The following is a 16,804-nucleotide window of genomic DNA, read 5'->3' on the forward strand; positions in this document are numbered from 1 at the left end:
AGTAGTAAAATAATATTAGAAATGCCTTTAGAATTGTCAATATATATTTTTGCTTGGATTTACTGATCAAGCGGTTTCATATTTATCTCTGCCAGATGTTATTAGGTGTCAACATTTGACATAAGAACTATAAAACTATAAACCCAGGCCAAACCAGAATGATTTTGTTTGTGTAATTTTTTATAAACAAGACATTTAATATTGTTTAAAGAAAACAACTAAATCTTCTGAGTTATTGAAAAAATGCCCATATGTTTAAGTTTCTTATCTCGATAGACATCTGATGTTCACAAAGCTTTAAAAATGCTTAGCAGGGAAATAACTTTAAATGATGACCACCTTTGTACGGTATCTCAGTTTTCATAAATAGTCTAAATAAACAGTGAAAAATGGAAAGAATGGGTACATATAAATGAGATAAATGTTTGTAAGTAAGCTTTTTTATAAAATTTAAAATCTTAAAATCATTTTGGATGCTTATGGGATGTCTGGGTCATTTGCAATTTTATAAAAAGGGTTATGGCCAGGCACAGTGGCTCATGCCTGTAATCTCAGCACTTTTGGAGGCCAAGGCTGGTGGATCGCTTGAGCTCAGGAGTTTGAGACCAGCCTGGAAAACATGGTGAAATCCTGTCTCTATATTATATTATATTATATTATATTATATTATATTATATTATATTATATTATATTATATATTTTATATCAAAATTACACTATAAAAATATATTATATCTTTATATTTTATATCAAAAATATAACAATTAGCCAGGCACCCAAGAGGCTGAGGTGGGAGGACTACTGGAGCCCAGGAAGTTGAGGCTGCAGTGAGTTGTGATCATGCCAATGTACTCCAGCCTGGGTGACAGAGTGAGACATGGTCTCAAAAAAAATCAATTAATTTAAAAAGCATTATTAGATGGAAAATATGTTCCAAAAATTGTGGAATGGTTCTCATCTATAAAATGCTAACATCTGACAGGCAGTTGAACATTTCTTACTTCCTAGGTTCATATAAAATATGCCAAAGGAGATGTGTTCTTACTGAGAAACAGAATAGTTTTGTCTAATTCAAAGGTTATCAAAAAGTTAATTCAAATTACGGACTTGAAAAGGTTATTCCATCCATGTAACTTTCTGTATTGCTTTTAAAGTCCTTGTGATGTTAAATTTACAGGGCTTTGACTCTTCAGTCTAAAAAGGGCACATGATAATGTCATGTCTAGACTTAATTCTCTTGAATACTTAAAATCTTTTGCAAGCTCAAAAATAACTGCTCTAGACTCGTTCTGGGAAAAGCAATAGCAGTCACTGTGTGCTATAGTTCAGTAGCTAAGGTTTTGCACTTTCACACTGGTGGCCTAGGTTTAGTTCCTGGCTTTGGGAATAAGCCCTTTCTGTGTTGATAGTTGTGGGACTTTTGCCATTTATTGATTCTTTCTCCCTTCATGGACAGCTTCTGATTTTCTGTCTGGAATTGCTTACATACTGGATCTTTTACCAAAAATAAGAGTTGCTAAGAGTTAACATTGTAACATGTACTTGAGATTACTGGAGAAAGTTTTACATGCAAGATGTATAAGGAAAGTAGAATGTGCTTTTGGCAAAAGGCTATAAGAAAGCATGAAAATATGGTTTTTGTTGTAGGAATGTAATTTTTTCTAGTTCAGAGGTTTTAAAGGATTGTCCTAACCTAAAAGGGTAATAGGACAAAACTAAAGGTTTAAACAAGTTGTAAAAGATTTGTGAAAGATTGATCTTATAAAGAAAATTCTGTGGGTATGAGTAAGTTGGCTAAGATTTGAAGGAGATTACTTAGTTTTTCCATAATTTAAACATAAAAGCACACTGATGTAGGGCCAGAACCTGGGCCCATGTGTTTAAATAATAATGTGTATTTGAGAATTGGCCTATTGTTTAACAGAAAATCGAAAAGGATTATAGAAGGTTATGAAAATCTTACCTTATGGTCAAACTAATTAAGATTAAATAGATTTATTTATAAAGTTTTATTAAGAATTGGGTTTAACATTAACAGGATACTAATGCAAAGGTGAAATTTGGCTTTCTCTCTCTCTCTCTCTCTCTAAGACAGGGTCTCACAAGCCCAGGCTAGAGTGCAGGCTGGTGTGATCTCAGTTCACTGCAACCTCCACCTCCTGGATTCAAGTGGTTCTCATGCCTCAGTCACCCAAGTAGTTGGGATTACAGGCATGCGCCACCACACCTGGCTAATTTTTGTATTTTTAGTAAAGATGGGTGTCAAAGGAAAATAAATCTTGGGGCCCCCAAATCGCTAAGCTAAAGGGAAAAGTCAAGCTGGGATCTGCTTAAGGGAAACCTTCCTCCCATTTTATTTAGTATTCAAAGTCCTCCCTCTGCTCATTGAGATAAATGCATATCTGATTGCCTCCTTCGGAAAGGCTAATCAGAAACTCAGAATAATGCAACCGTTTGTCTCTTACCTACCTGTGACCTGGAAGCCCCTTCCCTGCTTGAGTTGTCCCATCTTTCTGGATGGAACCAATGTACATCTTACATATATTGATTGATGTCTCATATCTCACTAAAATGTATAAAACCAAGCTGTGCCCCGACCACCTTGGGCAAACGTAGTCAGGACCTCCTGAGGCTGTCATGGATGCATGTCCTCAACCTTGGCAAAATAAACTTTCTAAATTAACTGAAACGTGTCTCAGGTATTCGGGGTTCAGATTTTGGCAACCATAAAGGGATTCTAAGTGGAGGTGCTCCTGACCTTTGACAAGTCTCCTATCAGTATTTGGTAGCAGCTTGAGCTATCTTTTTCTTTGTTTGTTTTTTGGTTTTGAGACAGAGTCTCACCCCGTCACCCAAGTTGGAGTGCAATGGCGCGATCTCAGCTCACTGCAACCTTCGCCTCCCGGGTTCAAATGATTCTCCTGCCTCAGCCTCCAGAGTAGCTGGGATTACAGGTGCCCGCTACCAGGCCCAGCTAATTTTTGTATTTTTAGTAGAGACGGGGTTTCACCATGTTGGCCAGGCTGGTCTCGAACTCCTGACCTCGTGATCTGCCAGCCTTGGCCTCCCAAAGTGCTGGGATTACAGGCATGAGGCGCTGTGCCTAGCCACCTTGAGCTATCTTTATGGACAAACCAATAGGACAATTTGCTGAGGCCCAGAAGCATCCCTTCCAGAGAATCCCAGATGTCCCCAAATCTAAACTTTATTTTGCTGTACAATTCCTTTTTTTTTTTTTTTTTGGAGTTTTACTTGATTCCAACAAAAGGAAGGCAAATTTTTCCTGTTTCCATGACAATGGAAGGCAAGTAACTCCTTCCTGGAGTTTGAACTCATTTCCAGCAGGGAAGACTAATTTGAGTTTTTTTTCCTGCTTCTCAGAAACTCAAAAGAATGCCTCTTTGGAGGCAGTCTTCAGCCTGAGACCCATCTCTAGTTAAGTAACTGAACTGGAGTTTGTCTTGGCTAAAGTTAAGATTAACAAGCAGCTGGTCTTAATTTCTCCCTACCATTAGAGCACTCAGTGATCATGTAAGTTGTGCCATCATGGGCCAGTCACAGTGGCTCACGACTGTAATCCTAGCACTTTGGGATGCTGAGACAGGCAGATCACAAGGTCAGGAGTTCGAGACCAGCCTGGCCAGCATGGTGAAACCCTGTCTCTGCTAAAAATACAAAAATTAACTGGGCATGGTGGCAGGTGCCTGTAATCTCAGCTACTTAGGAGGCTGAGGCAGGAGAATCGTTTGAACCCAGGAGGTGGAGGTTGCAGTGAGCCAAGGTGGCACCATTGCACTCCAGCCTGGGTGACAGGGTGAGACTCCATCTCAAAAACTATATAAAAAATAAAACAACAACAATAATAATAAATTGTGCCATCATTTGTTTTGCTTAACTTTTTTGTTGTTGCTGTTGTTTGTTTGTTTCTGTTTTTGTTGTTGTTTCCATCTTTTTCCCATTGGGTTTGATCAACTCTATTTGACTTGATCAAATCCAAAGGAAAGTTCCAAATTACAAGGAACAAGGCCTCTGAAGTGGCTAAACTCCCCCCCAACCCCAACACACACACACACAAAAAGGTGGTGTGGTGGGGGAGAAAAACAGCCAGCAAAAGGAAAAAAAAAAGAAATATTTTTGCTTTTGACTACTTAACGGGCTTTATTTACATAATGAGGCCACCCTTTTGTTAGCCAGGCTGAACAGAAAGAGCAATGGCTGTTGCACCATGCTGAAGTTCCATAGCTAAGCGTTCTGCCTTCTTTTTTCCCGCCATGACAACCTGGGTTTGGATCCTAAATCAAGCCCTTTCTAGTTTGATACTTGGTATATCATAAATATTAATAGTGTAGCAGGACGAACCGCAGACAAAACCCCTCAGACACCAAGTTGAGGAAGGAAAGGGCTTTATTTGGCCAGAAGTGTCAGCAGACTTATGTCTCAAAAAACCAAGCTCCCTGACTGAGCAATTCCTGTCCCTTTTAAGGGCTTACAACTCTAAGGGGGTCTGCATGAGAGGGTCATGATCGATTGAGCAAGCAGGGGGTACATGACTGGGGGCTACATGCACTGGTAATCAGAATGGAACAGAACAGGACAGGGATTTTCATGATGCTTTTCCATACAATGTCTGGAATCTATAGATAACACAAGCAGTTAAGTCAGGGGTTGCTTTTAACTACCAGGCCCAGGGCGCAGTGCTGGGCTGTCTGCCTGTGGATTTCATTTGTGTCTTTTAGTTTTTACTTCTTTTTTCTTTGGAAGCAGAAATTGGGCATAAGACTATATGAGGGGTGGTCTCCTTCCTTATTCCCCCCTTTGAGAACTTTACTCATTAGTAGGAGTTCTCATTTTCATCCTCACTACCCATGTCTTCTTGCAAGACAGATTGATAGTGATTCATATAGTACACTTGTGCTGAAGCATTTTAGTGAACTAAGGTAGTGATGAAGCTTTTTAATCATTTGAAGGCGTACAGGTAGCAAACAAGGGAGTAGTAAGCAGGTTCCTATTACTATTATAATTCCTATTATAAGGGTTTTAAATCCTCCTAGCGCTGGGAACCATTTTCCAAACATGGCCCCAAGATCAAATCCATGCCACACTTGCACAGGCACATGTGCTAGTTTTGTCATATCTCTATGTCTTCAGCTACTTGCCTTTGATCATCTATGTGTAGACAGCAATTGGTAAGGTTAAATTTCCCACAAACTCCTCTTTCAGCTGCTAGCAAGTAGTCTAGGGCTAATCTATTCTGATAAATAGCATTTCTCATCAGGGTTTCTTGCCGGGCTAAAACAGTCAAAGCTCTGCCAGTCTCATTAGTGATTATTCTAAGACAGCTTGTTAACCGTATAATCTAGTTGAGCATGTAGATGGGGGTTCAGTATCCCTACGAGCTGTCTTGTGCCCATGTGGCAGGCCCATAGTACTGTATGATTCTTTCAGGGGGCCACTCATCATTTTTCCAATCACCTATGGCTATGCTTCTCTTTTCTCGGGAAGCATAGACAGGGAAGCCTAGGAGCTCACCTGTTTTTACAAGCAGTAGGAAAAAGGATGGCTTAATGGTGCTAATGACACAACGACCTGCCCATTGGTCAGGTAGCTTGGTGTAGGCTCTATGCCTGCATATCCAGTATAGTCCAGCTGGAGCTGGCCAGTCCCAGTGAGACTCTGGATGGGCCCAAACAGTTTGCAACTTAGGAAACTTACTAAATGGATGCTTCTTAGTATGGTTTAGACCCCACCAGGTGACCGTTCTTAATCTTATTTCAAAAACTGTTACCATAGAGGGCTCAGATGGGTTACAACACACATCAGGCTGGTCACTTTTTGGGCTACATACCTTGTACTGGGTGACATTATACAAACAAGTCCCTTTTAGAGTTCCAGCACATTTATAATAACTATAGAACAAAAAGACAGTTTTAACTTTTTGCCATACCTCAGTGAGCTGATGTATACACTGGGAACAGTCCCCAGTTTGAGGAAGGTCAGTTGAAGTCCTTACTGTACAAGTCCAAAATTTAAGGAAAATAAGTCCCACTGTGAGTTTCCTCATACTTCAGCTGTGCGTGGACCAGTCAGCTTCCAGGTGTGACTGGAGCAGGGCTTGTTGTCTTCTTCAGAGTCACTTTGCAAGGATTGTCTGGGCTTGGTCTCGCCTCCCAGGTCTCAGGTGCTGCGGGTTTCACATGGCTGTGGTGGATCCAGGCTGGGATTCCTTCTACTTTCACAGCTGTGGGAGTGGTCAATACAACGGTCTGGGGTCCTTTCCACCATGGCTGCAAGGGGGGCTACATTCCAATCCTTGATCCACACCCAATCACCTTTGCTGTCTTCTGTACCAGGTCAGCCACAAATGCTGACCTGTTGTCCAAGCCGATTTGTAAGGGCAGTCCAAACCTAGGGATGAGATCTCCACAGTTGGGCATCTCAGTGAAGTCTACTTGGGGATCTTCAAAGGGGGCTGCTCCATAAGCCTATATGCCAGGTGGGACGGTTGGACCTTGCCTAGCATTGTGCTGCTGGCAGGTGACACACTGCTGCACCACTGTTTTGGCAAGGGCTGACAGATGTGAGATGTAGAAGTACCGGCCTAACAACTTTTTAAGAGACTCTTGGCCTAGATGGGTGGTCTCATGCACAGCTAGTACGACTGCGGCTCCTAGCAGTTGTGGCATTGCTATTCTTCCATCCGATAACCAGATCCACCCTTTTTCTATCACCTGCCCTCCCTCTGGTTGATGAAATGCCAGGGTGAAAGGGATAGCCAATTGGACTAAAGCACAAGTGCCACTCCAGTTATTCGGCAGAGTGTCCAGTAAATGTCCACCACAATACCACCACACATCCGCTCGGGGATGAACAAGGGCTGACTTATTGGTGAGCTCTTGAAAGTTCTTAAGTTCACTGCATCCTTTCAGGTCTCCAAGGAATGCTAAGTTTCCTCCCTGTCATGAGAGACATGAAGTGAACTTAGTGTTGGGAGACGGAAGCTGGATGGCCCTTGGGGGCTGACCCGCAGGGTGCTGAACTTCAGGATATAGCAGAGAGAGAGCTTGGCATGACTTATTACTCCAGGCTATAGAATCCTGGAAAAGAGCTACCATGCAGCCCATGTCTGGTCAACTGGAGGACCACATTAGTGGAAAGCAGACAATCTGGGCCTCTGGCCTGCCACGTGCACAAGCATAACAATTGCTTTTGTTTAATGTGCAGACGGAATATTTGATCCATTCCAACCAGGCATTTGCATCTTGGTATCCTGTCTTAATTGCCAAAGTTTGTTTTAAGTCTTTAACTTCTATGATCCTCTAGTAAAATGAATGTATGGTTTTAGGAAATTACAAAAACCGGTTGGGGCAGTCCATCCTTGCTTTTTAGTGGTCCACAGAACGTTGGACCAACTACGGCATAAAAGCTCTACATCAGGGGGCAAGACTCCTGGTTGACACTGGGGTCTTTATCAAAATCTCCTCAGATTAAATGGTCCCAATTTACTAATGCCCAGTCTGAGGAGAGTCAGGAGGGACAGAGGTACTTTTCTGAAGTAGAGAGCTGTCTTTGACTTGGCAAGTCCCCACAGGGTATAACAAGGCAAGCATTAAATGCAATAGTTTGAGGCAAAATTGACTTGGTTGTGTTAATAACTAGATGGTCAGCAATAGAGCGAGGAAAGAAGAAAGTATAATATAATAGATGAAAGAGTTAAATTTTTCTTAGCTTTAGTTTGGTTGGGTTTTCTCCTGGGACTATGGCCCACGACTCTGGAGGGGGTGGCACTTTCTTGACTCAGGTGTGATGAGTCCATCCCCTTTCTGCTGTATGAACAGCAGTCTCAGTGGTTAGCAGCACAAGGTAGGGTCCTTCCCAGGCTGGCTTGAGTTTTTCTTCTTTCTACCCTTTGATGAGAATGTAATCTTCAGGCTGGTGCTGGTTTACCGGAAATTCTAGGGGTGGTACATGTGCTAAAAGACTTTTAGTTTTGAGGGAAAGGAAAGTGGAAGATAAACCAAGTATATAATTTCTAAGAAATTGACCTTTTGTTTTAAATGTGGGGACATCAGCAGCAGACTTTATAGTTCTTGGTGCCTTCTTACTGGGAAATTTCCTTTAGCACCTATTTTTATTAGTTTTTAGACCAAAGAAAGCCAAACAACATTTTATATTTGACAATGCTTTCTGTATGATTTTCAAACCAGATAAGCTAAATTTCACCTTTATATTAGTGTGTTATTAATGTTAAACTTAGTTTTAATAAAACTTTGTAGACATATTTATTCAATTTTTAATGTCTGACCATAAGGTAAGATTTTTATAGACTCTTTTTAACCTTTTATAATTTTTGTTAAAGAGCAGGTTAGTGCTTTAAGAAAAACACATTTTGTTTTTACTTTAATGTCCAGTTCACAGAAAAACTGGATGATGCCCCTTTAACTTTAGCCAATATGTTTACACACAGAATTTCCTTTACAATTAACATTTTAAAACTTGCTTAAACCTTCAAAACAAAAAAATTTTTTTAACCTTTTAATGTAGGTAAAAATCCACATTTTTATGCCTCCTTATAATCCTTTTACTAAAAGTATATTTTACTTTTCTTATACACCTTGCACATAAAGTGTTTCTTCAATAGTTTTACATTCAGGAGGCCTAATTACTTTTCAATTATACAACACTTCTTGCAAAAATTCCTTTTTTATAACACACTTTTTTTTTCTTCTTTCACTACTTTCACAGACAATTCTTCAACATGTCTCAACTTTCTGACTTATTGCAAACATCCCTTTCTTTAAACAACCAGTTAATTTATTTTAGGACAAGAGTTTACTATATAACATTCTTTTTACATAAATTCTCCCCCACCTTTTTCTCTCTCTCTTTTTTTTTTTTTTTTTTTAACTTAGGATAGTTCTGAACTGGTTAGGTGTGCTTACAGTGAGGTTTCCTTTAAAAGTTATTTTTCTACTTTTTTCTATTAGCAAATCCATTGCCGCTACAGATTGAATGTGTTTGGGCCATCTGCAGGTTACCGGGTTAAGGAATTTTGATAGGAAGGCTACAGGTTGTCAGTGGCCTCAGTGCTTCCACGCTACGCCCTTGTTTACACTGACAACAAAGTGGTATTGGAGTGTTATATGGTCACAGAGAAGACCTTTAGTTATCAATTATAGGTTCTAAATTTACCTTGGCTTTTAAAGGAATCAGGTACACTGTTTTTTTCTTAACTACTTGTATATCTCTCTCTCTCTTTCTTTCTTTCTCTCTTTGACTTTCTGTCTCTCTCTCTTTTTCTTTTTGTCTCTGTCTCTTCCTCTCTCTCTGCCTCTCTCTTTCTCTCTGACTCCCTCTTTGCCTGTCTCTTTCTCTCTCTCTTCTTTTCTCTCTTTGCATCTTTTCCTCTCTCTTTCCTCTCTCTCTCTTTTCGCTCTCTCTCTCTTCCCCTCTCTTTCTCTCCTCTCTGTCTGTCTGTCTCTCTCTCTCTCTTTTTCTCTCTGCTGGTCTTTCCTTGCCTTTGCCAGCTGCTTATGCTGCTGTTCTCCTCTCTCCTTCCTCTTCCTCTAGGGGAGGGACCAGCGGGAGTGGAGGTACTCTTTCTTCTTGGCTGTCTGTCCCTTTGCCACTAGCACTGCTGCTGCCTGTCCTCTTAAGCACTGTGGGGGGTCTAAAACCAGCTGCAACCAAGTATCTATGTGTGGAAACTGATCTGGTCCTGATTTACCAGTTACTTTGGGCCATACCTTTGAAACTAGGGACCTGTCTAGGCTTCCTTCTGATGGTGATCCCACCTCTAATGCCAGCCAGTCTATCTCACACAAAGCCTTAAGCTTTCCAGGTGTCATAGCAATTCCATAGTCCCCATTGAATCCTTTCTTGAAATTCTTTAACATCGTTTCTAATGGGGTAGGCTTACTTTGTGTTTTACACATTTTCCTCTCTCAGGAGACAGAATAACGCTCTTACCACAAAGAGGGAAGGGAAAAAGGGGCAAAAAGTCACTCACTCCACTCACTCACCAAGCAATTCACACTAAAACCAAAGCATGGATAAGGAGTTACTCATTCATCAAGCAATTTGAGCCAAGTCAGAACTGAAATCAAAGCCAAAACAGTTCAAATCCAAAAGCCAGTACCAAAATCTAAACCAAAGCAGTGTGAATCTAGTCAAAATCAAAACCAAAACCAAGTCGCTGATAAAGGCACGCCATGGGTGATCAGGCCATGTTTCCAAGTGGGCAAGTTCCAAGACCAGTCTTACCGTGTTCCAGATGTCTGGAGTCCAAGCGCCAATTCCTTCTGGGTGTTCAGCCACTGCGTTGATCCTCCATGGGGGCCTACCGTGCACTGCTCTGGCAAGGCATTCCACCAGGGCAATTGCCTACCCGGGAGTGCTCTCAGGATTTGTGTCGCTAAAGCTGGCCAGAGTGCCCCACAGGGATGCTCCACAGGGCAGGCCTAAGCCACCTAAGGGGTTGCCTCAACCGTCCGCTAATCACCTCACTTCCTGGTCGGGGCACCAAGAAATGTAGCAGGACGAGCCGCAGACAAAACCCTCAGACACCAAGTTGAGGAAGGAAAGTGCTTTATTTGGCCGGAAGCATCAGCAGACTTATGTCTCAAAAAACTGAGCTCCTCCAGTGAGCAATTCCTGTCCATTTTAAGGGCTTACAACTCTAAGGGGGTCCATATGAGAGGGTCGTGATCAATTGAGCAAGCAGGGGGTACATGACTGGGGGCTGCATGCACTGGTAATCAGAATGGAGCAGAACAGGACAGGGATTTTCACGATGCTTTTCCATACAATGTCTGGAATCTATAGATAACACAAGCAGTTAAGTCAGGGGTTGATTTTTAACTACCAGGCCCAGGGCGCAGCGCTGGGCTGTCTGCCTTTTAGTTTTTACTTCTTTTTTATTTGGAGGCAGAAATTGGGCATAAGACAATATGAGGGGTGGTCTCCTCCCTTAATAGCAGCAATTTGTCCTAGCTGAAATATGGTAATGAGATTTAAAAAGGTTCTTTTAAAGGAGCTCAATGGTAAAAAGTCAGCTGAATTAAAAGCTAACATCCAAGATGTGTGTGTATATGTGTGCATGTGTGTGTGTTTGTATTTAAAAGGTCTTCATGTTTTTGCTTTGTTTTTTTCTCCTAGGGCCTTGTCTTTTTTTCTTCTAGGACCTTGTCTTTTCTTCTTTTTTGAAAAAAAGTTTTTCTTAGTTGACTGAATTCCGTTTTCTTCATTTACTTCTGCTGTCTCTCCTTTCTCTTGCACCCTCTGCTGCATGAGGGATGTAAAATAGTTTATAATAGCCTGGGGTTCCCTAAAGAAAATGGAGAAGGCACCAGGCTCCCTTTGAGGGAGAAACATGTTTTTCCTTTTTCCTTGTGGAACCCCAAGAGTGTAAACAGACAAGTTTGTCTCAGCTCTTAAACTGCTTGCTTTTGTATTGTGTCACCTGACTTACTGACTAAAATAGTTATTGCAACAGAGACTACTCTTGGACTTTTAAGGAAGAGTGTAGTTTAGACACTTAGAAATGTCTATGTTTAAAAAAAATTTTAAGTGCACTGTAAAAACATCACGTGGTCTAGCCTCATAATAATTCTCCCTTTTTGGAGACAAAGAATTCAGTGTGGACTCTGCCTAGAGCTCAGAGATCCATTTAAAAGATAGGTAATCCCTATCTAAATAAAATTGGGCTTCTCATACAATCTTATGATAGATTTCTATAATTTTATGTTTGATTTGACATCCATCTTTAATCTCCCTCTAGCACCACCAGACTTTATCTCTCTGTACCTTGAGATGTAAATTTTGCTATCTGATTTTTCATCTAAGAGTTGTTTCCTTCAATATGCAGATTTACAGCTATTTAGCTGACAACTGCCAGGATAATGAAACAGGTTATCAAGAGTTTGCAAGTCTAAGATAGGAAAAAAAAAAAAAAAGGAGATCTTAGGAATCTTTAAGATGTACTTCCATCAGTATGCCTAATACAGCTATGTATTTATGTATTGTGTACACAATGTTTCACTTCTAAAAATATAGAAAAGAAGTCTAATTAATTGGCTTAAAGAAAAATAAAAGCACTTAAATCAAATACTTTCTCAGAAAAAAGGAAAGACTAGTCAAATACTCTTTCAAGTTTATGTAACTTAAGTAAAATCTTTAATAAATAAGCTAGCTTTAAAAGTATTGGTAAAGTAATATTAGAACTGTCTTAAGAATTGCCAGCAAACATTTTTGTTTGCATTTATTGATCAAGCAATATCATACTTTTCCCTGGCAAATACCATAAGGTGTCAAAATTTAACACAGGGGTTATGAAACTATAAATCCAGCCCAAAACAGAATGATCTTTGCTTGTGTAATTTTTTTTTTTTTTTGAGACAGAGTTTCACTCTTGTTGCCCAGGCTGGAGTGCAATGGTGTGATCTTGGCTCACCACAAACTCCGCCTCCCAGGTTCAAGCAATTCTCCTGCCTCAGACTCCTGAGTAGCTGGGATTACAGGCATGCGCCACCATGCATGGCTAATTTTGTATTTTTAGTAGAGACAGGGTTTCTCCATGTTGGTCAGGCTGGTCTCAAGTTCCCAACCTCAGGTGATCCATCCGCTTCGGCCTCCCAAAGTGCTGGGATTACAGGCATGAGCCACTGCACCTAGCCACTTGTGTAATTTTTAATAAATAAGATATTGATACTGGTTTAATGAAAACAGCTACATCTTGAATTATTTAGTAAAATTATCATAACTTCTAATCTTATGGTTTTAGGCAATGTAGTCCACAGGCAGTAAGGTGGTTTGTTTGGGAAAAGACTTTTATCATCTTTGTTTCAAAGCTTAACTATAAACTCTCTTTCTCTCAAAGTGAATTTGACTTATGTCCAGGAATGAACAAGGACAGGTTGGAGGTTAGAAGCAAGATGGACTCAGGTCATGTCTTTTTTCACTATCTCAGTTATAATTTTGCAATGGCAAATTTCATAAGTTTAAATGATGACTATCACAGTTTTCATAAATAATCTAGATAAACAATTAAAATAAAATAATTAGGTAAACATAATGGGATAAATACTTGTAGACAAACTTCTCATAATTTAGAATCTAAAGGTATATTAAATTAAATAATAGATATCTCAATAAAAATATATATTGTAGGAAAACATCCTTTCTTAAAAAAAAAAGTGTCCTTTTGGCTGGGCACAGTGGCTCACGCCTGTAATCCCAGCACTTTGAGAGACTGAGACAGGTGGATCATGAGATCAGGAGTTTGAGACCAGCCTGGCCAACATAGTGAAACCCCGTCTCTACTAAAAATACAAAAATTAGCCAGGTGTGGTGGCATGTGCCTGTAGTCCCAGCTACTCAAGAGGCTGAGGCGGGAGAATGGATTGAACTCGGGAGCGGAGGTTGCAGTGAGCAGAGACCACGTCATTGCACTCCAGCCTGGGTGACAGACTGAGACTCCATCTCAAAAAAAACAAAAGTGTCCTTTTTAAAAAGGTGAACAATTCGTGTCTAATTCAAAGCTTATTTAAAGGTTATGTATAAAACAATGTAAAGGGAACAAGGAAATAACAGAGATGTAAAGAAAGTTATAGAAATAAAGAGGTATTTTTTGGTAAGAAAGCTTAGTTTTCTCTCCCCTTTTAAAAGGCATGAAATAGAAATGCTCTCCTTCAACTTATTTTCAGCTCACATAAATTTTTTTTCCCTCGAGTTATGTTTGTTGTGGCCTGATACTAACAATGTTTTCTTAAAGGTCTAAAGGAAATGTTTTCTTTCAACATAATATTCTGTACACTGCAGAAGGTCTTTTCTTTTGCTTTTTGGTAACTGGCCTAACACATTTTACATTCTATCAAAATATTTTCTATGCCATTATTATGAAGTTTTGGCTTGCTTAGAAAAAAACTGTGATAAACATTTTTAAAATTAAGATTATTGCATCTGTGTATCTTTCTGTATGTACTTTTAAAGTCATTGTGACATTCAGTTACAGGGCTTTGACTCCTGGGTCTAAAAAGGACACCAAGTCCTGCTAAATTTTAAACCCTGACAGTAATTAAAGTCTCATCTTCAGGCCTGGTAGAAGACGCCAATCAAAATAAACTGCATTCCTGAGACACAGGGCCAGAAATTAAAGCTATTCAACTCCTCAGGGCCCAGAGACTATTGCAGAAGAGATGGGTGTGTGAGATTGTCAGGGCCAATTTGACAGATAAAATAAGTTCAGTTTTTCTATAAATTAATGATTAATGTCAAAGGCACACTGATGCAAGACACTGATGCAAGCATATGGGCCCCTGTGTCAGATTGACAAAGTTTTCTTGAAGCATTAACCAACTCCTTAATAAATGTTATAAAGTTTATAAAAGGCTTATGGAAGTTATATCTTGTAGTCAATATAAAAATTTTAGAGATTGTTTATAAAATTTTGGAAAGCAAATTTAATTGGCTTCATTCTGTTTTCATTAGGGCTTATTGTTTGGAAAATTAAGTCTCCTCTCTCAAAGAATGAAGGTTTTTGTCTTTTGTTGAAATCCTTATCACTTTTATTAAATGAATGACTTATTTTACAATGATCTGTGATCCTATTTTGTGATATCAAGTGTTTTAAACCTTTGATATTTGACAAACTTTCCAAAATCAAATTATAAATTATGTGTTTTTCTGATCTAATTAATATTTTAAGATATTAGGTTCCCTAAAGCCCAAAAATGATATATTTGGCTTATTTGGTATAAAAATTTTACAGAAAGCATTGTCAAATATAAAATGGTATTTGGTTTTCTTTGGGCTGTATTTGTATAAATATGTTATTGGTATGTGTTCCAAAATTGTGGAGAAACTCCTATAATTCTGATATGACTTACTGTACATTAACAGTAATAATTATAATTGTTATGTTAAATTATTGTGTGCCACAGAAGCAACAAATTTCCTTGTGAATTGTGTCTTTGACTATGGCTGCCCTAAAACTCTTTGTCATCCACAAACAATTATTGTCTTGTTTGGGTCCTCTTTAGAAAGTGGTTTGATAATCAGCTATAAAACTCAAACAGGTACTTTTGAATGCAGGTTTCTGATAACTTTGAAGATTGTGACATCAGAATAGAGGAAAAACTTTCAGGACTCATGGAGAGCTGAAATGCTCATGAATATCAAGCAGAATAGGAATTAACTGCATGGACTGAAGTAAAAGAAGACTGAAGTAATCTTTTTGACGTTTTGCTGAAAACGTTGCTGATCCTTTTGTTTTTCAGAGTCAAGGAAATTTTGTTTTGAGCTACTGACAGATTTTTTTTTTTTTGACACAATTTTGCTCCTTTTTCCCAGGCTGCAGTGCAATGGCACAATCTTGGCTCACCACAACCTCTGCCCCCTCAGTTCAAGCGATTCTCCTGCCTCAGTCTCCCAAATAGCTGGGATTATGGCATGCACTACCATGCCTAACTTTGTATTTTTAGTAGAGACAGGGTTTCTCCATGTTGGTCAGGCTGGTCTCAAACTCCTAACCTTAAGTGATCCGCCTGCCTCATCCTCCCAAAGTGCTGGGATTACAGGTGTGAGCCACCATGCTCAGCCTACTGACAGCTTTTAACAATTAAATATACTCCTATGAAAAAAATTTGGAGCATATTTGTTTCTCTCTACCTGATTTCTCCAGAATTTAGAAACTATTTGTGAACATTCTTAACTTATGACAATATTGTTATTTGCATAAGTGCAATAAGAATCTGTTTTCATTTGTAAATGAAATAGGACACCATTGGGGAAACTGGTTATTTCACCAAGGCTTTGACTGGAATGGTGTGCATTCCTGTAAGGAATCAAACTTGACTTACAGAGCCAATAAAAGTGCCTTGGGAAAGCTGGCCTCATACTTTGTACATAGTCCCTGTAGAGAGTTCCTGACCTGTGGTAAGTAAGGAATGTCACTTTCTGACAGGCCCAGGAGCCCCAAGTTATCTTGGGACATCAAGAGGAGAAAAATTCACCCAACTTACAGGTATTTGATGGTACAAATCCATGGCTGGGCTTGGTTTTAAAAAGTCTTATCTGAGATTCCTTCTATGGAACAAAGTTCCATCAAAGCCAATTTTAAAAGCCTATGTAAAAAATAATTATTCTTAGATGGGCATGGTGGCTTACACCTGTAATCTCAGCAATTTGGGAGGCCAAGGTGGGCAGATCACAAGGTTAGGAATTCGAGACCAGCCTGGCCAACATAGTGAAACCCCACCTCTACTAAAAATACAAAAAAAATTAGCCAGGCATGGTGGCATGTGCCTTTAGTCCCAGCTAATCGGGAGGCTGAGGCAGAAGAATCACTTGAACCTGGGAAGTGGAGGTTGCAGTGAGCTGAGACCATGCCATTGCACTCCAGCCTAGGTGACAAAGCGAGATTCCATCTCAAAAAAAAAATTATTTTTGCTGCATTTTTTTTGAGACAGTCTCATTCTGTTACCCAGGCTGGAGTGCAGTGGTGCAATCTCAGCTCACTGCAACCTCTGCATCCCGGGTTCAAGCAATTCTCCTACCTCAGCCTCCCAAGTAGCTGGGACTATAGGCACGTGTCCCCACGCCTGGCTAATTTTTTGTATTTTCAGTAGAGATGGGGTTTCACTGTGTTAGCCAGGCTGGTCTCGATCTCATGACCTTGTGATCTGCCCGCCTCGGCCCCCCAAAGTGTGGGGATTACAGCTCTGAGCCACCGCACCTGGCCTTTCTTGCTGCATTTTATACAAATAATCTGGCCAAGTATAATAAAGCAAATTGGTCCTACCATGATTTC

General features: G+C 39.8%; 1 annotated feature.

The window, feature by feature from the left end:
- Window positions 15,450-15,650: a silencer, noted in NCBI's record as "peak378 fragment used in MPRA reporter construct". NCBI's record gives its function as "represses an SCP1 promoter by STARR-seq MPRAs in K562 erythroleukemia cells {active_cell/tissue: K562}" and the evidence as "EXISTENCE:reporter gene assay evidence [ECO:0000049][PMID:32103011]".

This window comes from Homo sapiens, chromosome 1, assembly GCF_000001405.40.
Source record: "Homo sapiens chromosome 1, GRCh38.p14 Primary Assembly".
NCBI classification, from domain to species: Eukaryota; Metazoa; Chordata; class Mammalia; order Primates; family Hominidae; genus Homo; species Homo sapiens.